Genomic DNA, 26,922 nt, shown 5'->3' with positions numbered 1-26,922 from the left:
GTCGCCCCCACCACCTAACTCTTTTGACTACTTGAGGTTGGGAGAGAGAATTCATCTATTTAAAACATGAATGCCTTCTCTTTTAGCCTTTACTATTTAAAGATGCCTTTTTTCATTTTTTTTATTTTTATTAAGCAGCAGTGGAGTTTTATACTACTATACTAAGTGCGACAGAAGATAAACATATAAATAAAACATACCACTACATGCCTTCAAGAAAAACAAAATCTAATAAAATCTAAAATCTAATGGGAACTTCAAGTTTTACTGGAAATTAGAGACTCTTTCTTCTCACTGCAACAGGAATATTTGATTAGTCGTACAGCTGCACTCAAATGACAAAAAAAAAAAAAAAGACAAATTTTCAGGTTCCAGAACTAAAGAGGCAACTAAAGTCAGAGAGATAAGTTTATGAATGGATGCACTAGGAACTCCAGAATCTGAGACTAGAGATAGATCATAGAGACTAGAGGCTGATATTTTAATTAATATAGAGGTTGCATGGATCTAGCATTTGATTGAGAATTAGAACTGAGACCCTTACATCAGATAGGTTAGGTCTAGCTTTGACCCACTATAAGACATGTGCTAGATATAACCTAATCAATGGTCTATGAATATGACATTAAAAATGCACATATCTGCCTGTGATCTTCTTAATAGGAGGAGACAATTAAGTTTTTTATTGGAAATAAAACATGTCAGACCAGCACAATATATCAATATGGGGCAAAGTTTATGATACTTACATGGTACTTGTTTCCCCAACGTGAGAAATCAACATACAGACAGGTCACAAGCCCTTGAAATTTCAGGAGCAAACTGCAGAGTAAACTGAAAGCACATACAGTTTCACCGAGAAAAATAAAATATCAACCTCTGCTGAAGGTGCCCACAATAAAAACTGATAAAAGAAACAATACATGAGGTTGGATCAACAAACAGGGATATTAGTATACATAAAATTTGAAGTAATAGAATCATGTAAAAAGACTGTAACACAGATATAAGTCAAATAGTTAAGGATATAAAATAAATAATAAAAACACAAGGACAAAAATAAACAGATTTGGGGAAAGACAGGGAAGTCCAGAATTAAGATATGTGATCAAAGCAAGAAAAAAGATCATTGGACAAATTAAACTGCTGTTGAAATGAGAATTAGTAATCTGGAAAATGGAACTGGGGAAATTATTCGGAATACAGTATAAAGAGAAAAGGAAATTCAGAATATAAAACATTAACAGAAATAAGGACAGAATAAGGAAGTACAAAAATGTCTAATAGAAATTATAACAGGAGAAAGTAGAGAGAACAGAGAATAAAAGAAATATTTAAATGGAGAGTAGCTGGAAATTTTTCAGAATTGCTGGAGATTTTAAATACAGTCAGACATGTGGTTTTAAAAAGAGACTCAGGAACTTTTGAGCCCAGCGGTGGAATGGAATGATATGCCTGAGAATAACAATTAGAAGCTGAGCAAAATGTAAAAAACATTTTGAAGGCACTGTAGAGTGAGGAAACAAGCAGAAAGCAGGGGGCTTTGGATCTTTGAAAGGAGGAAGTCACACTGGGTGAGAGTCCCATTTAATACAGTATCTTCCCTAGAGGGCTTTCTGCATTATGTGTAGTATGAAGTAGCTGAGACTTGTCACACTGCATGCACAATTTAATTCAAGACGAAGTATAAACAAGAATGTAAAAGCTAAATGTAAAACAGCTCTAGAAGAAGACAGAGAATACATTCCCTACCCAGGATAGACAAGACAGGATGCGAAAACATTATGAAGAAAATTGATAAATCAGACTTCATCAAAATTAGAACATCTTCTCTTCAGTGAGCACCAATAAGAAAAATGAAAATGTAAGCCATGGCCCAGGAGAAAATATTTACAATTTATCAATTTGAAAAAAGCACTATATTCAGAATGTATAAAGAACTGCCTGTGGCTATACAGATTTTTCTATTTTGTGTTACATTCGTTTTGGTGGTTTGTATCTTTCAAGGAATTTGTTCATTTCATCTAAGTGTCAGATTGATTGGCATAAAGGTATTCAAGATATTCCATTACTTTTTTTTCCTGGTTGCATTCAATAGCTACACAATACAGTCTTTACAAGGGCAAACTGAATGTTCAAGTGTTTTAGTCCATTGTGTGTTGCTCTACAGGAATACTTCAGACTGGGTAATTTATTTTAAAAAGAGGCTTATTTGGCTGATGGTTCTCCAGATGGTACAAGCATGACACCCGCATCTGCTTGGCTTCTGGTGGAAGTGAGAAGCCAGAAAAGAAGTCAGAAAGGAAGGTTTTACTCATGGCAGAAGGTGAAGGGGAAGCAGGCATGTCTCGTGATGAGAGAGGGAGCAAGAGAGAGATGGGGGCAATCCCAGGCTCTTTTTTAACAACCAGATCTCCCATGAACTCATTACCATGGGGAGGGCACCAAGCCATTCATGAGGGATCAGCCCCAAAGACCAAAACCCCTCCCACCAGGCCCTACCTCCAACATTGGGGATCACATTTCAGCGTGAGATTTGGAAAGGATACACAACATATTTGGAAAGGATACACATCAAAACATATTATGCTCCTGGCCCTCCACATCTCATGTCCTTCTCACATTGCAAAATACAACCATCCATTCTCAACAGCCTCCCAAAATCTTAACTCATTCCAGCATGACTAGAAGCAAGTTCCTTCCATCTATGAGCCTGTAAAGATCAAACACAAGTTATGTACTCCCAAAATAAAATGGTGGCACAGGCATTGGGTAAACATCCTCATTCTAACAGGGATAAATTAGCCAAAAGAAAAAGGCAACAAGCCCTACACAAGTCCAAAACCCAGCAGGGCAGACCCAAAATCGTAAAGCTCCCAAATGATCCTGGACTCCATGTCCCACAACCTGGGTACACTGATCTGCAGGGTGTGCTCCCAAGGCCTTCGTGCAGCTCTGGCCCTGTGGCTTTGATAGGCGCAGCTTATATGGCTGTTTTCAAGGGTTGGAGTCTGGTGCCTGTAGCTTTTCCATGCTGAGGTTGTAAGCTGCTGGTGGCTCTTCAACTGGGGTCTGGAGGACAGTAGCCTTCTTCCCACAGCTCTACTAGGTAGTGCCCCATTGAGGAATCTATCTGGAGGCTGCAACCCCATCTCTCCCCTTGGCATCGCCCTAGTAGAGGCTGTCTGTGGGGGCTCTGCCCCTGTGGCAGGCTTCTGCCTGGGCACCCAGGCTTTTTCCTACCTCCTGTGAGATCTAAATGGAAGCTGCCAAGCCTCTCTTACTCTTGTATTCTGTGCACCTGCAGACTTAACACCATGTGGAAGCCACCAAGGCTTATGGTTTGCACTCTCCAGGGCAGAAGCCTGAGCTGTGTCTAGGGTCTTTAAGCCATAGCTGGAGCTAGAGCAGCAAAGGATGTAGGGAGCAGCCTCTTAAGGTGGTACAGGACAGTGGCATCCCAGGCCTGGCACCTGAAACTATTCTTTCCTCCTAGGCCTCTGGGTCTGTATGGGGAAAAAACTGTCCAAAAGACTTCTGAAACGCCTTCCAGACCTTTTTTCCATTGTCTTGACTATTAGTGCTTGGCTCCCATTCAGTCATGCCAATCTCTTTAGCAAATAGTTGCTCTGCAGTCTGCTTGTGTTCCTCTCCTGAAAATTCTCTTTCCTTCTTTACCATGTGATCGGGCTGCAAATTTTTAAAGCTTTTATGTTCTGCATCCCTTTTAACTAGAAGTTCCAACTTTAAGTCATGTCTTTGCTCCCATGTCTGATCATGGGCTATTAAAAGCAGCTGTGCCACATATTGAATACTTCGCTTTAGAAATTTCTTCCACCAGACACCCTAGGTCATAATTCTTAAGCTTGACCTTCCACAAATCCCTAGAGCATAGATACAATGCAGTCAAGGTCTTTGCTATGCCTTAAGAAGAATGACCTTTATTCCCAGTCCCAATAAATTCCTCATTTCCATCTGAGACCTCCTCAGCCTGGCCTCCGCTGTTCATATTTCTGCCACCATTTTGGTCACAATCACTTAAAAATCTCTAAGAATTTCCAAACTTTCTCTCATCTCCCTGTCTCTGCTTCCACACTTTCAGGTATCTTATAGCAATGCCTCACTCCTCAGTATGAATTTTCTGTTTACTGTTTTGTGTTGCTATAAAGGATATAACTGATACTGGATAATGTATAAAGAAAGGAGGTTTATTTGGCTTGTGGTTCTGCAGGCCATACAAGCACAGAAACTTTATCTGCTCAGCTTCTAGTGAAACCTCAGTAAGCTTTTACTTATGGTGGAAGGCAAAGTGGGGAGCAGGCATCTCACATGATGAGAGAGGGAGCAAGAGATAGGAGAGCTCCTAGACTATTTTTAACAACCAGATCTCATGTGAACTCATTACCATGGGGAAGGCACCGAGCCATTCATGAGGGATCTGGCCCCATAATTCAAAGACATCCCACCAGGGCCCACATCCAACATTAGAGATCACATTTCAACATGAGATTTGGAGGGGACACACATCCAAACCACATCACCAAAATAAACTATATACTGGATCACATGAACCAAACACCATATGCAGGATAATAAAACAAGTCTTAATAACTTTCAAAGGTTTGAAATCATACATTGCATGTTTTTTATCTTTTCTTTTCTTTTCTTTTTTTCTGTTGACAGGCTGGAGTACAGTGGCACGATCTCTGCTTACTGCAACCTCCACCTCCCAAGTTCAAGTGATTCTCCTGCCTCAGCCTCCTGAGTAGCTGGGATTATAGGTGCCTGCCACCATGCCCAGCTAATTTTTTGTATTTTTTAGCAGAGACAGGGTTGGTCTCGAACTCCTGACCTCAAGTGATCTGCCTGCCTCGGCCTCCCAAAGTGCTTTGTATTGCAGGTGTGAGCCACCGTGCCCTACCAATACATTGCATACTCTGTGACAACAATGAAATTAAATTGAAAAGCAATAGTCATAATAACAAAATATCTAGGTATCTAGAAAAATTAAAATATTTGATAATTAATTAATACCCTTCTAAATAACCCATGGATCAAATAAAAAATAGCAAAATTAATTAGAAAATATCTTGAAATAAAAGTAAAGAAGACATATCAAAAATTGAGAGACACAGATAAAGCAGAGTTTAGAGGAAAATGCATGTCCTTAAATAATACCACCTTTTAAGCATTTAATACTTAAAATCAATGCCTAAGAATTTAAAATGATTAAAATCAATAATCTAACTTCCAGCTTACGAAGCTAGAAAAGCAAGAGCCAATACAAGGTAAATAGAAAAAAGAAAATGATAAACATAAGAATGGAATTCAATGAAATAGAAAACAAAAAGGGGAAAAAATAGACAAAGCCAGAAGTTGGCTCTTTGAAAACTGTAATAAAATTAATAAACCTCTAGCTAACCATTTATCTATTTAAACAAAATGAATTTCTAACTAAACATATTCCCATAAAGAAATTTCCTGGCTCAGGTGGCTTTACTTAGCAATTCTGAATAAAGATTTTTTTATGTTCATTCTATGAGAAGTTTCAATATTAAAACAGAAATGTTCTACCCAATTACCCAATTGATTCATAGATTTCAATGCTAGCCCAGCCTACATCCCAACAAATTTTTCTGAGAAGTTGATACACTGATTCTAAAATTTATATGGCCTTCAGAAGAACCTGGAGGAGCAAATATATATATATATATATATATATATATATGTTTAAAAAGTCCAAAGACTTAAATCACCAGATTTTAACTTGTAATATAAAGCTATAATAACTCAGATAACATACTATTAGTATAAAGATACAGATATCAACAAAACAGAACAGAAAGTACAAAAAAATAGATTCATATATGTAGTCAATTGATTTTCTACGAAGGTGTCAAGGTATTTCATCAGAGGATAAGATGATTTTTGTTACAAATTGTGCTGAAACAACTATTTAAAAATTTAAAAAGAAACTCAAGTCTTATCACACATCATATACAAAAACAACTCAAAATAGATAATAGGCCAAAATGTTCAGAACCAAAACTGTAAAATTTCTAGAACAGTTGTTAAACCTCAGTGGTAAGTGCAGAGGTGTCTAATACAAATTTCTATACTATTCTGTAATATTCTGAATATTGAAGCATTCCATTGCATAATTTAACTTCAAAACATTTCTTGTTATCTTCCTTAATTTCTGAGCCAATTTTGGGTATGCCTAGCTTCTTTCTTTCTTAAATAATGTATTCCTCAGGATTCAGCTTTTCTGTCTTACTCTAAAAGTGCTTTTCTTGGAAGATCACAGTCCTTCTCTGGTCTCTCTCTCTCCCCATTTGGTCAAAGACCCTCATACAACTCAGAAATTATTAGCCCTGAACTTCAGATTCATTTTACCTACTTTCAATTGAATATCTTCACCTCAATGACATATGGACAAATAGAATTCATTATAACCTAGTTAATCTAAAAAACATCTTCCTTCATGTCTCCATCTTTTCTATTTTGCTTAATGGCTTTACATGGCTTGGCTTGTCTAGTAACCCAAGAGGTCTCTAGACTTACTTTTCCCTTTTACCACAACATTCAAAGAGTCATCAAATAATGCTGATTTCATCTCCAAGGTTTTCTTGAATATTTTCACCTTTCCCATTTCTGCTGAAATATTAGTTTTCTACCATGCCCTGAATATATACCCTATATGGTCTATTGGGGTCATGTTGCCCCATATATATGAACTGATAATGTATTCTCTGTGCTGCCACTAGATCTATCTTCTGTCACAATCTGATGGTAACCTACTGGTTAGCCATATCTCAGAATACTTCCACACCTAATACACCAGCCTTGCAAAACTACACCCTTATCCACTAAATATGCATTTCATGCTCCAACATGGTGTTCTCTTTATTTTTAAAAAAAGTTTTCTTCCCTTCACTACCTACCAAATATCAATTCACTCTTTTAGCTCTCTGTTCAATTTCTCCTTCATAAAATCTTCCTTGCTTCCTCAGACAGACTGAGCTACTTTCTTTTCTATTCCCATAGTATGTTTTTGTGAATATTTCTAACAATAGTATTTGTCATACTATATCTTCATTACTGCTTGTCTGCCTTTTTGATGGAATTTGAGCTTACCACAGGCAAAACGTAAGTTTTACTTTAAATGATAATTCCTAGCACAGTGCTTGCAGTATAATCAGTACTTAAAATATGTTGAATAAATTTATGTAAATGGATGAATTAAGAAACAGAATAAGTTTTTTTATTGTCCTTCTAAAGTCATCTCTACCTCCAAGTCAAAAATATTGCTTTCCATTAACTTTGAAGATCATTCTCATTGAGATATTTTCACGGATGAAGGTCTTTAAAACTTCAGTTATCATGGAAAAGAGAAGATAATTAACATTTATTTTACCTTCTGTAGACATTCCAGTAAGATAGATGGTTTACCTACATGATCTCATTTCGTCCTCACAGCGGACTTTTAAGATATTGTTAGTTTTCAGAGTAGCTAACTGAATTAGTTAAATCCGGTTTGGTTATGAGTAATAGAAAATATAACAGTGACTTAATCCTCATGCACTTAAGTTCCTTCAATCTTGCAACACTACCATTCTCTACACCTTGGTCCAAACTGATTGTTGCAGCTCCTGAGGGAGGAGAAAAGAAAGGGAAAAGAACATGTCTCTTCCTTCCAGGAAGTTACACCATTGCTTTCATTTATATATCACTGGCCGAACTTTGTTACTGGTGCACACTAACTGCAAAGGAATCTTGGAAGAATTGTCTTATTTAAGATATTTATAATCCTAGCTAAAACTCTGGGGACTTATTTCTAAAGAATAAGGGCAAAAGCTCAGATTTTTCATGGTTAAATTGTAATATCTACCTTGATAATCTGAATCATCTGACTGACTTCAGAACAAATTCCTGAAAGCTGGTGGCCCTTGGTCCTGACCAGTCTTGTCTATTCAGAGGCATCACGTTTTGCTAAGCCCTTTCCTTTTTTGTTCAATAGTGAACATTTATTTTAATTTATATGTTTTTGATGCTTGCGCACTTAGCACATGAAAATATTTATGGGGTCAGAAATAAAGAAAATCAAAACTGTTTGATGTCTGAAAAACCTTGAGTTAATTTCACAACCATTTTTCATCGTCTTTTAAAGCATGAAATCACTCTTTGCTAAGTTTTTTTTTTTTTTCGTTTTTTTAAGTCACAAAATCGAAAAACTCCAATACAGTTTGAGGGCTCCCAAGTGAACTCCCTTAGGATGAGAAAAATTGGTAATTGGCTAAGAAATCCAAATTAAACTTAAATAATTTGCGTTTTATTAAGAAACATTCATTCTTTTTGAATTCCTCACAACAAAGTAAAATAGTGAAATACTCATGGTTCTCATTTGTGTTGTTTTAAATTGCTGTTTTGAAAAATGAAAATCAAAAAGCTAAATCTGGTTAAAATTTCCTCAAACCAGGAAATCCCATCAGGTATCAAATGCAGAAGCCTTACAAAAACCAAGTTTCCTCTCAAGCAAGAGCTTTATGCAATTCTTGCAAGAAAGATGTAAGAAAGACCACTTTATTAGTGTTGAAACAAAGAAATTGGAACGTTGTCCTAATTGCGAACAGACTCCTTAACGTGCCATCAGTTAAGGACAAAATGGAACTGGAGGTCAATGATCTTGTTTTGGTGGTGAATGAGCTGCCTGGGAAGGGTGAGAGAATAGATAACTAACTTTAGGTTGTTTGTATTCTGTCGTCCATTGACTTGCTTACTTTTTTAAAGGGTGACCTACATGGGAAGTGTCTTAACATATTTCATGCAGCATAAAATAAAAGACCTTAATGAAGCCAGTCAACATCCTGGCATTATTTTCAACTTTTTCTTGGCTTAGGATTAACACATCAACCAATGTTACATGTTATCACAGAGAGTGACAATTCTTAATGAATTGGAGGCAGAATAACATATTCGCAATTGGCCAGGTTCAGTGGCTCACGCCTGTAATCCTAGCACTTTGGGAGGCCGAGGCGGGTGGATCACCTGAGGTCAGGAGTTCAAGACCACCCTGATCAATATGGTGAAACCCCATCTCTATTAAAAGTATGAAAAATTAGCCAGGCATGGTGGCGGGCTCCTGTAATCCCAGCTAGTCAGGAGGCTGAGTCAGGAGAATCCCTTGAACCTGGAAGGTGGAGGTTGCAGTGAGCCAAGATCACGCCATTGCACTCCAGCCTGGGCAACAAAAGCTAAACTCTGTCTCAAATACATACACAAACACACACACACACACACGCGCACACACACACACGTATGTATATGTATATATATGTATGTATATATGTACATATATGTATATGTGTGTGTATATATATATTCCCAATAATGCCCATGTCCTAATCTCCAGAATTGGGGAATATGTTACATTACATGACAAAGGGAAATTAAGATAGCAGATGGAATCAAACTGGTTGATCAGCTGATTATCCTGGACTATCCAGGTGTGTTCACCATAATCACAGTGTTCTTAAATATGGACAAGAAAGGCAGAGGAGTCAACATCAGAATGCTGTAATGTGAGAAAGACGACTGGCTGGCCATTGCTGACTTTGAATATGGAAGAGGGTCATAAGCCAAGGAATGCAAAAGGTTGCTAGCAACTGAAAGGCAAGAAGACAGATTAACTCCCATAGCCTCCAGAAAAGAATGCAGCACTGCCAACACCTTGGTTTTAGCTCAGTGAAGCCCACTTCAGACTTCTGACCTACAAAAATATAAGTTAATAGGTTTAGGTTTTTCTAATCCATTAAGTTTGTAGTAATTTGTTACCGCAGCAATAGGAACTTAATGTGTCCTTAATATACCCCCTTAGTGTGTTTTTTTTTTTAAATCAATTCCTGCACAGACTCTCATCTAGGATGGAAAAATGGATTCTTGTCATTCTAAGTCCTTTCTCAAAGGTGTAGAGAACTGCTAACTCCCGTGCACTCAGAATAGTTTTGCCTGGCTAAATAATTGTTAACATATCTGTTACATATTAATAGTTTGTTCCTAAAAGATGGAATGTTCTTACCTAGTGTCCCCCCAGGATCTCACAAGCAGCACTTCTCATTTCTATATATTATCTTCAAATAAACAAATTAATGCTTGTTACCCAAAATTTTATAGCTAACTGAAATTGTCAAGCAGTTCCCAGAATTTCAACTTGTGGAGTACCAAGTGCTTTTGAGTCACAAACTTGAGCAACAACACTGAAAATGACTGAGGCCACCCAGTTGATACTGGGATTTTTTAACACTGCCTTTTTATGCTTTCAAAATCAACTTTAATTACCAGTTGAAATTCAGCCCAATTTGAAAGTGTGCAGTAATTGGTAGGTAAACAAGTCCAAGGTGAAGATTTTTAACTACTGAATGCTATAAATACCAAATTAAAGCTGCTGGGGAGAGGGTGAATTCTATGCATTTAAGCTGATGAATCTCCACCGCCTAGAAAAGTGTTTAGGAATCTGATAAACACTAAATATGTGTTTGTTGACTTAACAAGTGGTCTAACCCTTTTCTCCGGAGACTTGGTGATCTGCTGATCATTATTAAGTTGAAGTGTGAAGCAACTAGAGCTTCTTAGTGGATGTGCAGCAGAAAGTAGGTACATGGCCCAGAGACCAGTGGAAGTACACAAAAAAATACCCACCAAAAGCACTCTATGTGAGGCGGCTATATTTAATGAAGAATCAAGGCCAGAAGAGGTGGCTCATGCCTGTAATCCCAGCACTTTGGGAGGCCGAGAGGCAGGAGGACCACCTAAGCCCGGGAGTTTGAGGCTGCAGTGAGTTGTGATTGTGCTACTGCACTCAGCCTGGGTAACAGAGTGAGACATTATCTCAAAAAAGGAAAAGAGAGAAAGAAAGGAAGGAAGGAAGGAAGGAAGGAAGGAAGGAAGGAAGGAAGGAAGGAAGGAAGGGAAGGAAGGAAGGAAGGGAAGGAAGGAAAATAAATGAAGCCTAGCATTCTGCTGCTCTTCCTAGCATCAACTTCTCCTCAGTTTTCTTAGAAATGATTGTATACATTAGTTGTAGCTATTTTACTGGATTACAATTCCAGTTACATAGTGAAATATTATGGATGAAATCTTTGGTGTTTCTATTTATATATCTTTCTTTATTTTAAAATTTACATATAGTAAAATTCACTCTTTGTGGTGTACAGATCCACGGGATTTGATTCACAATGGTTTCAGCACTCCCCAAAATCCCACACATTCTCCTTTTTCAGTCAACTCGTCCTCCATTCCCAACCCCAGGCAACCATTGATCTGTTCTCCTTCCTCATCATTTTTTTGACATTTCCAGAATGTCATATAAATTGAATTATTCAGTATATGTGTAGCCTCTTGGGTCTATTTTGTTTCACTTAGAAGAAAGCATTTGGGATTCACCCTTGTTGCTTAGTCAATTAATTTAATTGCATGGATATCTCATGGTTTGTTTATCCATTCAACAATTGAAAAACATTTGGATTGTTTCCAGATTTTAGCAGTAATGAATATAGTTGCTGCAACCATTCATGTACAAGTTTTTACTAAATTTTCTTTTTTCTTGGGTAAATACCAAAGAGTAAAATTGCTGGGTCATAGGTAAATGTATGTATGACTCTATAAGAAACTGCCAACCCATTTTCCAAAGTGACTGTACCATTTTGCATTCCCATGAACAACATACAAGAGTTCCTGTTGCTTCACATCCTCACTATTCATTCGTACTATCTTTGTTTTAAGCATTATAATAGATGGATAGTGGTTAGGGCATTTATTTAGAATGTTCCAAGGAAAAATTATTAAGCTGATTCTCAGATGCCTTGCAAGATCACCCAGGCTTGGATTCTGAGAGAAACCACATCTTGAAGGCATATCACAAGTGACTACTTATTGCTCCATACTAATGGTTGTAGCTTTACCATAAACTCTTTTCCAGTCAGTATACAGGCCTTTAGAAGTACTTCCTTATTTTAGTAACAAGTTCAATAAGCACTTAAATGATGATTAAAGTCAAAGATTTGATTCTTTAATAGACAAATAACAATCTCTTTACCCTTTGTCATAGACTTGAAGTCAATTCACTGTTTGCAAATGCATCCTTTTTGGTATCAAGTCCGCAAATAGTTCGTTTAAAAGTCAGGCCATCATTTGGAAAAATGAACTCAAACTTACCATTCTGTTCATAGCAGCATTTTCCTAATACATGAAGCGCAGCAACAATCAAAATGAGAATGATGAAGACTTTAAGAAAATGGAATACTTTTAAAGTGCCACACACTATCACAGGACGTTTAGGATATTTAAATTTCCATCCAACACAGTTCATTTACTACTACCCAGTCAGTGCCACACGAATTACCCTTCTGTTCTTTTTCTTATTAAAGTTATCTCAATTAAGTCGTTTTCTCCAAACTTTGAACTTTTAAGGCAAAAGAGAAAGATAAAATCTGTGGGTTACTTTTGTAACAAGTTATGTTCTTTCCCAGTGAATTTTCCATGACATCTGTTTAGGAAAATCTCAGAAGATACCAAAATGAGATAATGATGGGGTTTTATATTTATCAAAGGCAGCCTTACCCCCATGCACAAATACACTAACTCCCCATTGCATGGCAGCACGCTTTTGTGTGCCCAGAGGCAGAGTCAGTGAAAGGAAACTGGTTCTAAGGAAAAAGATCTTGCTAAATCCTCCTTGTTAAAAGCTGGAGCCATCTGAGCTTGACCTTTCTGATATTTCTATCAAATTGGCCTCCCTTTTGTTTTCAATATACATATATATCAACACATATATATATATACACACGCACATATATACATACATGTATATGTATGTATGCATATATAAATACATATTTTATACACACACACACACATACATACACACACACACACAAACACTTTTACCTTGTTCCGCTTTCAGGTTGAACTTGAGAACACATTTAAGGAAGTTCTCAGCAATAAGATATTTTCAGAGAAGGACTCTTCATGATGCAGGAAAATGAGACTTTATTTTTTATTTATTTATTTATTTATTTATTTAGATGGAGTCTTGCTTTTGTTGCTCAGGCTGGAGTGCAATGGCATGATATTGGCTCACTGCAACCCCCGCCTCCTGTGTTCAAGCAATTCTTCTGCCTCAGCCTCCTGAGTAGCTGGGATTACAGGCACGTGCCACCACGCCAGGCTAATTTTTGTACTTTTAGTAAAGATGGGGTTTTTCATGTTGCCCAGGCTGGTCTTGAACTCCTGACCTCAGGTGATCCACCCGCCTCAGCCTCCCAAAGTGCTGGGATTGCAGGCCACTGCGCCCAGCCGAGACTTTATTTTTGAATGTTTTATAGTTGTTCTCAAGTAGTGCCTGACTCAGGCAGAGGCTTTTGTCACCAGTTACAAACTGCTGAGAACCCTTTAGGTTGAGAGTAGTATAACTGGTACTCTGGGAATCGAATAATTTTAATGATATATGTGCTTTGCTTGCTAGGTTTGTTCAAACGCTACTTAATTTATTATTCAATAGAGAATCTAAAGATCTATAGATCTGTAATCTAAAGAGGGATTATGAAGACACGTAACGTCCATTTCTTTCTTTATAACCACCATAGTAGGAAATTCTTTGATCCTAATTTTAACCATAAATTCTCTGGAAATACAAATAATGCTGGTCACTGGTAATATTTTAAGATGTTTATGTATATATTTCCCTATTTAAGATGAGACTATACCAGAGTCACTTCAGGCTATAAGTTCATCCAGCTCTTACTGAGAATAATGTTCATTTTTTTCCTCAGTCTCTTCTCCACAATATCTGTTCCCCAGGCGCTGCTCTTTTATTTGTTTCTCTCATCTTCTAAGTGTTTTATTTGCTCCTTGACCTTCAGTGTTCTCCTTCCATCAGTAACACCAGCACATCCAAATCTATGCCTCAGGCTGTGACATTTTACCTTCAATTCAGTCTTGAATTCCCAATTGCCTAAAGACCTGAAGATCCGAGTGTTTTGCTGGTACCACAACACTTGTAAAAATGAATTCTCCACCACCTGGCATTAAACCAGCGTCTCCTTCAGATTCATCTCTTCCTACTAAATGATGCTGCATTGGTCCAGACACTCAGATACCCAAGCTCTTGTCTTTTGGACTCCTCTCTCAACATCTATACTCAGGAAATGTCTACACAGAATTTTGTTGTATTTTGTTTTCCCACAATGTATTTTACTTTAATCTTTTCATAGCTGGGTACTCAGTATCATCAGGTGATGTATATTAATTAATCCAGGCATTAAATAAGAGGCTTAATTATGTCAGCACTTGGCAATCCATCCACATTCCAACCAACTTAATGGCTACAAGACAAGTTTGCCAAAATTCTGCTTTAATAGGCTATTTTCCTACCCCCAAACACCAAATAGTTCAATTCAAATAAAGCCTAGAAAGTTCAAAGTCCTAACAACTTTACTCAAGGCTCAATGAAGTTTGACCTGTACTTTTTCAAGGCTTATATCTTGCTACTTCCTTATATGCACCCCACACCCCAGGAAACTTTTGCTTTCAAATCCCCAGCATGCCATATTTTCAGCTGCCATACCTTTGTCTATATTCTGTCCATCTACAATTGTTGTCCAACTTAGTCATCTAATGAAATCTAATCTTTCCCTTTAGAATTTATGCTCCACTTTGATGTACATCGGAATAAACCAAAATGATTGTTAAAAATTCAGATTTTCTTACCCAATCTCAGAATTTTGATTTAATAAGTTAGGGGAAGGACCCAATAATCTATATTTTTAACAAATCCACTTGAGTGATTCTCATACAGATGGTCATGGGACAAAAACATTTGAAAAACATTGTAAGGACCAAAAATATAGACTGTTTAAAGTTTTCTTAGATGTCACTTGTTAAAAACTATTTCATTTTTTTTTTGGAATACATCAAGCATCTTTATTAAATCTAAAAAGAAGTGAATTCACTATCAGACAGTAGCCTGAATTAGCATCTTGATTCCATCCCGAATGAATTAACTAATGTCTGTGATACTCTTTGGTAGTCTGTAGAATGAAGTAAATAATAGTACTCACTTAATAACATTGTTTTAAGTTATGAGAAGCACTTGGCCTGGGTCTGGCACAGAGAAAAAGTTACATATTAGCTATTATTGCATTTCTTACGATAGGTTCCTAGACACAAAAATATTTTTATGGCTTTGGATTATAATCCTGGTCTCCCTTTTCAGTCCCTGTCAAGCATCAGGTTTATTTTTGAACATGCCCTTTCTCCTTAACCAATCATAGAAGTTCCTAAAATGTGGTCATTATGTTTATAGAGTGTGCATTAAAAAAACAAAACTCAGGCCAGGTGCGGTGGCTCATGCCTGTAATCCCAGCATTTTGGGAGGTCGAGGTGGGCAGATGACGAGGTCAGGAGTTCAAGACCAGCCTGGCCAACATAGTGAAACCCCATCTCTACTAAAAATACAAAAATTAGCCGGGTGTGGTGGTGGGCGCCTGTAGCCCCAGCTACTGGGGAGGTTGAGGCAGGAGAATCACTTGAACCCAGGAGGCACAGGTTGCAATGAGCCACGACCACGCCATTGCATGCCAGCCTGGGTGACAGAGTGAGACTCTGCCTCAAAAACAAAGCAAAACAAAACAACACAACACAAAACAAAACAAAAAAAGCTTAATAACTACGTTATTTTATTCTATGTGTATTACCCACACCTATCTCTGAATAAAGTAAATGTTCAATAAATATTTCAAATTAGGTTAATTCAGAAGTTTTATATGTATTTTGAGCAAGTGAAAATTAGGGTATGCATTAGAGAATCTTAAAACTATATGGATCACAGTGATTATGCATGCAAACTTTTTATTTTTGTATGTTACCTTTTCAGAAGAAGAGAATGGAACCCACAGATGTAATGTGATCAATGGTCTGCAGTCAGTTGGTGGCAGATCTAGGTCTGGAACACAAGTCTCTAGCCCATGGGTTCAACCCTGTATTTCTTGTATCTCTGCCACAACTGCTACTAGAACTTGTGATTTCCACCAAGATTTCAAAAATAGGAATTAAAAATTAGTAAAGTTCTCTGAAGATGTTCATAAACAGAACATTCTGTGCACGTGTAATGTCATAAGTAACTAATTGAGTCCTGGTAGAGGTAAGTAGGCAAATGCATTTTCTTCTTTAAAAATTACATAAAACCAAGTGTACAAAGTACAGCTTAAAACCAAGGATCCCTATGAATAGTATCTGAGTTGGGTTCTTACCCTTTTAAAACTCAGAGGAGTAGATTTTCAGGCATGTCATCCTGTGTCCTACTTTTACAGTAGAACAGGAAGTAGACTAACAGAGAGGAACTCTATGGGGCCCATGAGCTGGCAAATAAACAAACAAAATGATTCTATGTCTAGGAATGGTATTCATACTCCAAAGTCCTTGGTCCATCCAGGATATCTTGTGTCTGTAATGTCAAAACTAATAAGAGAAAGGAATGAAGACAAAGTCCAGAAGTCTGACAGCTGCTTATTTCCTATTGGAAGCCATGATAACTCATGCCTGTGTGATTAAAACAAATGGTTGAGACATCTCAATGATATCTTATTGATAAGACAGCAGTGGCCAAATATTGATACCAGAACACAATGAAATAGTCCTATAAACCAGCCATACCAAGATGTCAAAATTATTGATTTAATCCCTTATATTTTCCCATTTGTCAACACTCAATATTGGATACCCAGCCAAATGTCTTTTTGGTTATCTTTAAAAATCAAACGCTTTATACTTCCTTGAGCGTTTGTTCCATAATCTCACATGTTTTTACTTAGATTTTCCTGATAGAGTGCCTATTTTTTAAAATCTTAGCTTTATCCAATATTCATACTTATTTTATCTTTTTCCATCACATTGCAGTAACTCTCCATTAGTGTTGTAATCTTTGCTTCTGCATTGTTGCTTTTCCTACCACAGATGTATATTAAGACATTACTAAATTCAGAAATTAACTCTGAGATCCTGTTGTAAATGTACCCATCTTGCTGCTTTTGACCCCATGCATATCTTTTGGCTAAGAGTAAGAGAGAAAGAAGAAAACCAATGCTCTTCTTCATTCCAGAATAAACAACATTTATAATCCCAGACCTGTGGGAAGCATTTCCAGGAAATATGGATCATCACATTGGCTCTTGTTACCAGAACTGTGCAAGGTAAAGGAAGCCCCTCAAAACACATTGAATTATCAAATGGGAAAAAGGTCACATTTACTGGCGAAGAGTCATTCTTTTCCTCATTCATTCAACAACCATGTTTTGATTATTCCTTATGAACTAACTGCTGTGCTCATAGGACATTAACTCTTTGGGTGGCATATCTGTTAGTGTCCCAGCAAGAAAAAAACAAGACCATATTCAATGGACTTGAGGAAGATTTAATAAAGAAACTATTAGCAAAATTATGGGAAGAGTTCAGAGAAATAAAAAAACAGAGGTAAAAACTAAAACACAGTGGTAGCCTAGGGCTAGTAATGCCCACATTGTTGTTATCCCTAGGCCTAAATAACAAAGGAAGAGAGGTGTTACTGGATCCTGGCAGGAGAGACTCCTGTAGAGGAACTGCCATAAAAAGAAGATAATGCTCAGGAGAGGGACACAGGCAGCCTCAGTTGACCCCGCAGAGAGGGGCTTAGGGGTTAGATAAAGTGACCTTACTCTTTTCTCTTCAATTGTAGGCTCCCATTGGCCGAACACAACTGGATTTCAGAAGACTTAATGGAGACTATACAGGTCAGCCTTCCAGGGTACAGAGCAAGATGGAGAGTGATAGACTAGATACAGAAGAGCAATCCCAAGATAGCTCACTCAGAAGACAACACTCACTCTGACTACCCAACTTCATTGAAACTAAAAGAAACTTCATCTTGCTTTAGAGGAAAATAATCTGGGCCAGATACCCAGTTTGGGCTGATAAATATACTGCTGTGTATATTTTACACTTTGCAGAGATGTGGCAGATACCTAAAATCTGTGTTTAATGAACTGAATAAAAAAATACTCTGATGTAAATATTTAAATTTCAGAGACCTAATAATGAATAGTGTGGTGCACAGACTCTAAGGAAGCCCCCATGATCCCTGCCTCCAGGTATCCATGCCTTTGTGAAATCTGCCCCCATCGAGTGTAGGCAGGATCTGAGACTAGCCTCTAACGAATAAAATTGCAAAGGTAATAGGCTGTCACTACTGTGATTATGTCATTCATATGATAAAGGTGCTGATGTCACTCCTGTGATTATCTTGCATTACATAAAGCTGCCCTGCTAGCAGGCTCATGCTGGAGACTTTCTCTCTTGCTTGCTTTGAAGGAATGACCTGCCTTGTTGTAAGAGGTTTGGGGAGAGAGCCATGTGGCAAGCAACTGCCAGCAGCCTCTTGGAACTCCTGGCTAACAGTCAGCAAAAAGCCAGAAACCTCAGTTTACAACCACAAAATGATGAATCCTGCCAACAACCTGAGTCGGTTTTGCAGTGGATCCATCCCCAGTCAAGCTTTCTGATGAGAATCCAGCTCCAGCCAAGAGCTTTTGCTGTTGTTCTTGTAATTAATTGTGAGTTTTTTTCAGTTTTATGGAGACATAGTTGACAAATTAAATCATAAAAATTTAAAATATATAATGTGATGATCGGATATATAGAGATACTGTGACATGATTACTACAATTAAGTTAATTAACTGTGTTAGGCTATTCTTGCATTTCTGTAAAGAAACAGCTAAAGGCTGGGCATAGTGGCACATGCCTGTAACCCCAACACTTTTGGGAGGCCAAGGTGAGCACATCACTTGAGGTCAGGAGTTCGAGACTAGCCTGGCCAACGTGGTGAAACCCCATCTCTACTAAAAATACAAAAAAAAAATAGCCAGGCATGGTGGTGGGCACATGTAATCCCAGCTACTCGGGAGGGTGAGGCAGCTTTCACTTGAACCTGGGAGGTGGAGGTTGCAGTGAGCTGAGATCGTGTCACACACTCCAGATCAGAGACAGAGTGAGACTCCATCTCAAAAAGAAAAAGAAAAAGAAAAAGAAAAAGAAAATAAATAGCTGAGACTTGGTAATTTACAAAGAAAAGAGTTTTAATTTGCTCACAGTTCTGCAGGCTGTACAAGCATGGCATTGGCATCTGCTCAGCTTCTGGTGAGGCCTCTGGGAGCTTTTACTCAAGGCTGAAGGTAAAGTTGAAACAGGCACATCTCATGGCCAGAGCAGGAGCAAGAGAGACAGTCTGTGTGGGAAGATGCCACACACTTTCAAACAGCCAGATCTTACGAGAAATGAGAACTCATTCACTATCATAAGGACAGTACCAAACACCTCTAGCACTGAGGATCACAATTCAACATGAGATTTGGTGGGAACATATATTCAAAATAACACATCCATCACCTCACATAGTTACTGTGAGTTACCGTGTGTGTGTGTGTGTGTGTGTGTGTGTGGTGAGAACATTTAAGATCTACACTTTTAGCAAATTTCAAGTATAGGATACAGTATTAACTATAATTACCATGCTATACATTAGGCCTGTAGAACTTAGTTATCTCATATCTGACAGTTTGTACCCTGTGACCAACATCTCCTCGTTTCCCCACCCCCCACCCCCTGGCAACCACCATTCTACTTTTTGTTTCTTTGAGTTTGATTTTTTTTAGATTTCACATATAAATGAGATCATACAGTGTTTTTCTTTATCTGCTTGACTTATTTCACTAAGCATAATGCCCTCAAGTTTCATGCATGTTGTTGCAAATGGCAGAATTTCCTTTTTTTTTCAGTCTGGCAGACACCTTGATTCTAGACGGATCCTTTCCAAAAGACCCAGCTAAGCCACACCTAGATCCCCTACCTACTGAACCTGTGAGATAATAAACGTGTCTTAAGTCATAAAGTTTGGTAATTTGTTATGTAACAATAGAAAACTAATATAAATGAGTATTTCATTTTTCCATATTGCATTATTTATTAACCTTTTATAATTAATATTCTCTCACATTCCTAGAACTGGGCCTTGTGGCCCAGGTATTATTTATTCAATATCCATGCAGAACTTTACCACTTACAAACTATTTTCATAAGTATTACATCAACTGTTCATCGAGATAAGCCCATGTTATTAGTCTCAGATAAAGGATAAAGAAACAGAGGCTGTGAAGTTTGAATTGACGTACCCAAGGTTAGCTACTAAATGGCAAATTCTGGCTTTTGTCCCTTGACCTCTGACTACAATTCCCAGTTTATTCCACTCTGCTGCACTGCCTTTTTAAATTTAGTTCCAGATGATTAAAACAGTGCTAACAAGCCACACTTTCAGTCCTTAGAAGGACCAGCTACATTCATTCTGCTCCTCATAATGGCAAAATGCCTTCTCTTTCTCTCAAAAATAGGTATGTTACTGGCTACAAGATGAAAATTATCTGCCAGTAGGAAAATTCCCATGGAAAATTCAAAGTCTCCTTTGGTTAATCATGGCTCAGCAGCGCATCCTTATCTAAAAATCAAGGTTTGAATTGCAGTTAGGAGTGTTACTAGCAGCAGCAGCAAAGACATAAGCTGACATTCAGAAACATTTACTGCATAGTCTACCCAAGCTTAATTGTTCATTCCTTAAAATAGCCGAAAATAAAAGGACTTTGGCAAAATCCCTTATGATAAAAGCCCAGACTCAAAGCCTTGTTAGAGATCAGAACAGATGGCAATATTAGTTAACAGATTTGTTTTTTGTAAACTGCTCTCTGCTTAAAAAAATATTTAAAAGTGATGCAAAAGACCTACAATTTACCTCTTTGTGAATGGTCATTGGTGGAATTCTATCTGTGAGGTCTGTTGTTGGTTTGATCCAAAGGCCAGTGAATGGCAAATGGCATATATGACAATCTCTTTTGAAATGGAGCAGAGCATTTTCTATGATGGAGATCAAAGGCGCTAGTACAACAAGTCATCAAAGTGGGCACCTGTAATAATACAAAAAAGAGTGATTGAAGTTTTCCAGCCCTTTTGTTTCACATTAGTCCATTTGAATAGTCATCATTAACATTTCTCTCCATATTTGTCTCTTTACTTAGACCTATTAGTATCATTGAAGCTATGAGAGCTTAAGAATAATTTTATAACAAATAAGAGATTGTTTAATGTTGCCAAACATTTAATAAGCTTCTAGAAAATATTCTGTTTTAGTTTGGCTCAAAATTTCGCCCAAGATGAGAGAATTTGTGTGATTGTTCGTGGCTTGTTTTTCTGAACCTACATTTTAAAAGACAGCAGCTTTGGAAATGAAGTTTGATCCTATGATTCAACCTTGGAATGCTCTTGCTGTGTGTCTGTGTGTCTTTTATCAGGGCCCTTGATTAGAAAGAGAAGAGAATGGAGCCCTTTTTGTTCCATCTCTCCCTGTTATTATATTCATTATTAATCTTTCCCTTTCTTTCTGCCAATTAGGACCGGTCCCAATATGGCGGGACCTCCAGAGTACTACCGCTGTCTCTCATGCATGATTCTTTCCAGAAATCCCTTGGCTTGAAATTCAATCCTTTTTTTTAATGAGAAAACACAGTACCACTGAATCCCAAAGCATTCATATTTAAATCTTCCATGACCTAAAGACTTATCAAGAGAAAATGAGAATGATGCTATTTTTACCCTTACCTAAACACATGGGCTCACTGCATGCCAAAATATTTTAAATACTTAGCCCTTGTTTCTTGACCTTGTGCAGAGAAGCTTCTTATCATAGTGTCACTTCAGGAGAATCAGGCAGAGGGACTTGGGTTCTAGTGCTGACTTCACCATTTACAAACTCCGAAAAAATTCAATATATTATGTAACCTCTTTTAAGGCTGTTTTCTAATCTATAAAATAGCAATAATAATCATGGCTTCTTGAGGCTGCTGTAAGGGTTGAATGAATAGTATGCAAGGCCTCAACCCATCATCTGAGACATGGGGAGTCATTGAAAGTGTTATTATTTCATGACTGAAAATAGCATATTTTTCTCCAATTGTCTTTTTCAAGTATTCATCAGTTCCCTTTGGTTTTCCCTCATTCTTATTTGATCAACTTTGCCATAAACATCTGGATTCTCTATCTAAATTGTACAAAGGAAAAGTAAAGAACTGAAAAAGGACCAGTTTATTCTAGTCATAAATTTACTTTGTAAATTAGGTTTATCTTCATTGATTAATGATGGGGGTTCAGGACACACTACTCCAAAATACGTCCCCTTGACACTTGAGAAGACTGCAGAAGTAAGATCTCTCTGACCTTCTCCCAGACCTTCCCCTTTGCAGGAGGTCATAAAAATTAGGAAGAGTTTGTTAGAGTTCAGAAACCAATATCCCCAAAATATGCCATTTTTACATTTATAGAGTACCCTTGACATAACTAACTCCATTTTATATTTCATAGGACACTTTGCCCTCAAGGGTAAGATGTTTTGCTTAATAAACAAAAAAATAAAGAACTGCATCTAACCAGATAAGGACAAAAACAAGTACACTCTTCCATGATCATTTCTCACCGGAGGACTCTTTAACCATAAAGGAGCAGGCCTTCAGCAGCCCAGATCGGCCATCTTAACTGACACCACATTCCAGTCACCTGTGCTAAGAACTCAGCATCTGCCACCAAGGCTCTGCCATATCAAAGATTCTTCCTTGCAATATCCAGGGACTTCCAGGCCCAAACCAGGACTCCTTTTACTTCTTCACTCCCCCTGGATCAGTTCATTAATGCTTTCTCCTCTTTTTCCTTTTGATGCTAAATATTACTTTGTTGTGGAATGTTTAATCTATAACATTTACACATTGATTAAGTATACTATTATGTATGGTTTGCAATATTGACAGACTTGTGGAGTGGCCTGAGCCTGTGTGTCTGCAGCACTGACTACCAAGTGAACGGGAAGTACTAAGGAGGGTTACCTCCTTGGGAACTCATTGCAATGCATGACTTTTGTGATTGAAACAGTATTAATAAAAGCCTGACATTGTCAAAAGACATAAACATGTGTAGAACTAGTTATCTCTAACCTTTCACTGCTCATGACAGACATACTGAAATGAAGAAGCTTCAAGGTCTCTCTGACAACTTTCCCTCCATACCATCCCTCTCGTAGAAGATGAAAGTTCCTTTAGCTGCCTAAGATCCAGACCCACCAAGCAGAATAATTGTTTTTTCTTCCTCTCCTTGTTATCTCATTATCTATTGCAGAAAAGACCAAGAATGTAACTGCACCTGAGCCGATCCTTTTACAAGTATAATGATGGTCTCCAAGAATTATTAAAATTCCAAAGAGAACTACTGCTTATAAGTTAATATCTTTTCCTGGATCCATTCATTCTCCCTAGTAATTCTCTCAACAGAATTCTTCTTCTCTCCCCTCCCATAATCTGTTTTATTAGGTTCCAAGCATCCATTCTTTCTGTAGCCTCAAGATGGTATATACGATTTTGCACTTCGTTGGGAGGTAAGATCTTTATTCTTAAGGCTCTCATGTGCACACATTAAATAAATTTGTATGCATTTTCTCCTATTACTCAATCTACCTTATGTCAGTGATTTTTCAACAAACCTTTTGGGGACCAAGGACCTTGGCTTCCATAGTTATTGTGCCTTGGGCAAAATCACCAAAGCCTGTCTGTTCTTCTGGAAGCCTCAATAAAAAGACCCAGGAACTTAAGAAGCCAGCAAAAGGGGTAAGAATTTCTTACCAGCTATGGTCCTGCTCTCTCTTTTGGTCAGTCCAGTAGAGTAGATGGTAAAAATTACTGTTTCTCTCCTCTGCAAGGTTTTTATTAATGAGAAAAGGGGGCCTGTGTGACTAGTCTTGGGGTATAGCAACTCTAGTGTACTTTTTGGCATTTTGTGATATGAATATTTATATTGTTTGATCCCTTTCTTCCCAGAAATCTTTTTGTTTGTCTTTGTATTTATGTGTTCTGCCATAAAGAGGGGTACTGGTTGAGGTTCTGTCTCCTCTTGTTTATGTCCTTAAGAACTCGACCTGTGATCAAGTGAGCGCTTTCTCTGTTGGTTCCCACCATCCGTGGGGCATGATTTCTGGGTCAGGTCAGGTGGCCAGTCTGAAAATGGCTGGGAATCCGTGACTTTTTCTGTTTCAAGCGTGTCAAGCTCTTGGGAGTTTGTCATAAGAAGTGCCATTCATAAAGGGGCTTTTGTCATCTTGACCTGTGCTGCCTGGTTAGTGCTGAGCAAGTCTAATCACAGGAGGGCCTACCCAATGTGACAGATTAACTGGTCTGTGACTCACAGCCCCCAACAAATTTCGGGGTACAGGAGGAAAACACCATTTTTAACTGTCTATAGCAAAAAGAATGTTTCACTCTCTCAGCCTATTTCTGGGAAAATGGGGGAATCTTTGATCTTTGGAATCACTTCTTCTCTGAGAAAGGGTATTGGATTGAGTTGCTATTGGAGTTAAGTACACCATTCAAAATTCAATGGCTAAAAGATCCATTCCTTAAATTAGACTCCTAAAAATGAGAAATAAAATAAAATAAAATAAAATTTTAGAGATCCCTTATTCCAAACAATGGGAAGATAGTATTAAAAGAATCATATTAGTGTCATGGCAAACCTTAAAAATTCTTTCAACTAAATTAAATAGCAAAATCTGAGGTAAAACAAAGTTACACTCACACAGGCCACTTTGGATTCCATGCAACGTTCACAGTGGACACTGCTCCATTTTGTAGTCTGTTGGTTACAATTCCCATTGTGGCTTAGGTTAGCTTCCTGCTCAGGGAATTAGTCCCTCTTGATTTGATATTTGTGTGACTCTTGGGATACCAATTCATTATTAATCTTTTTTCCTTCCTTGGACAGTATTTGATTTCCCATCTTCTTCCATCTGTGGGAGGCACACGATGTTTTGGGGCCTTTGTGTGTAGATGAACAGCTGAGAAGCTGAGACCCCTAGAAAAGATGGCTGGAGAGACATATGAGTTGTACTCCATTTGTAGCTGGTGAAACTTTCCTTTCTTTAAACTGTCTTTAGAATGGTTCTGGATTTTGTGCAAAGGCCAGAAATATCAGCTGTTTATCTTGGCTAAAATCGGGTAATAAGATACTTGAAAAGATGTTTTAAAGAATTTTAGGGTTAAAACTCAACTTAATTAAAAGCTAATATCCACACTATATTATACACTATATATAGTGTATAGTGTATAATATGTACACTATATATATAATATATACACTATATATATACACTGCATATAATATATACACTATATATAATATATACACTGCATATAATATATACACTATATATAATATATACACTATATATGTATTATATATATTATACACTATATATATAAAATACACTATATATAGTGTATTACATAGCATGGATATTAGCATGGGTATATATACATATATATAATTAAAAGCTGATATCCAAGACAAGTCACATATGTGTGTGTATATGTATATTTTACACACACACATATACACACCCACACACACACATATATATAAATACACATATATTTTTAAGGTCATTCTGCTTTTCTCTTTAAATTCTGTTTCTGGGATTTTTTTTTTTTTTTTGTGAACTAAAACTTTCCCCCCACAAAAAAAAAAAACAAAAATAAAAATATGTGCTTGTATATTTGTCTGTTCAAACACTGCTAATAAAGACACACCCAAGACTGGGTAATTTATTAAGGAAAGAGGTTTAATGGACTCACAGGTCCACATAGCTAGGGAGCCCTCATAATCATAGCGGAAGGCAAATGAGGAGTAAAGTCACATCTTACATGGTGGCAGGCAAAAGAGAGCTTGTATGGGGAAGTCTTATTTATAAAACCATCAGACTCGTAAGACTTATTCACTACCATGAGAACAGTATGGGGAAAACCGCCCCCATGATCCAGTTATCTCCACCTGGCCCCACCCTTGACACATGGGGATTATTACAATTTAAGGTGAGATTTGGGTGGGGACACAACCAAACCATATCATTCAGCCCCTGGCCCCTCCCAAATCTCATGTTCTCACATTTCAAAAGCAATCATGCCTTCCCAACAGTCCCCCAAAGTCTTAACTCATTTCAGTATTAACTCAAAAGTTCACAGTCCAAAGTATCATCAGAGACAAAGCAAGTCCCTTCCACTTATGAGTCTGTAAAATCAAAAGCAAGTGAGTTACTTCCTAGATATAATGGGGGTACAGGCAGTGGGTAAATATACCTGTTCCAAATGGGAGGAATTGGCCAAAACAAAAGGGCTAAGACTCCATGCAAGTCTGTAATCCCAAGGGGCAATCATTAAATCTTAAAGCTCCAAAATGATCTCCTTTGACTTCATGTCTCATATCCAGGTCATGCTGATACAAGAGGTGAGCTCCCACAGCCTCGGGCAGCTCCTCCCCTGTGGCTTTGCAGGATACAGCCCCCATCCTGGCTGCTTTCAGGGGCTAGTGTTGAATGTCTGCAGCTTTTCCAGGCGCATAGTGCAAGCTGTTGGTGGATCTATCGTTCTGGAGTATGGAGGATGGTGGCTCTCTTCTCACAGCTCTACTAGGCAGTGCCCCAGTGGGGACTCTGGGGCATCCAACCCCACATTTCTCTTCCACACTGCCCTAGCAGAGGTTCTTCATGAGGCCCCACCTCTGCAGCAAACTTCTGCTTGGACATCCAGATGACAGGTATGCAATGCATATAATAATCACATCAGGGTAAATGGGGTATTCATCTCCTTAAGCATTTATCCTTTGTGTTACAAACAATCCAATTACATTCTTTTAGTTATTTGAAAATATACAATTAAATTATTTTGACTATAGTAACCCTGTTTTGCTATCAACTACCAGG

General features: G+C 37.7%; 1 long non-coding RNA gene across 1 annotated transcript in view; it reads left to right on the top strand.

Annotated features, from left to right (window-relative positions):
• The window catches only part of LOC105371881 (uncharacterized), a 78,916-nt gene extending 60,815 nt beyond the window's left edge, over positions 1-18,101 (top strand). The window contains exons 2-3 of the long non-coding RNA XR_934952.3: positions 17,156-17,246; positions 17,768-18,101. This is a non-coding gene — a long non-coding RNA (uncharacterized LOC105371881). The remainder of the gene's footprint in view (positions 1-17,155; positions 17,247-17,767) is intronic.
• Positions 18,102-26,922: the final 8,821 nt, after the last annotated feature.

The sequence above is a fragment of the Homo sapiens genome, chromosome 17, assembly GCF_000001405.40.
Source record: "Homo sapiens chromosome 17, GRCh38.p14 Primary Assembly".
NCBI classification, from domain to species: Eukaryota; Metazoa; Chordata; class Mammalia; order Primates; family Hominidae; genus Homo; species Homo sapiens.
This window is presented reverse-complemented; position numbering and strand designations above follow the sequence as displayed.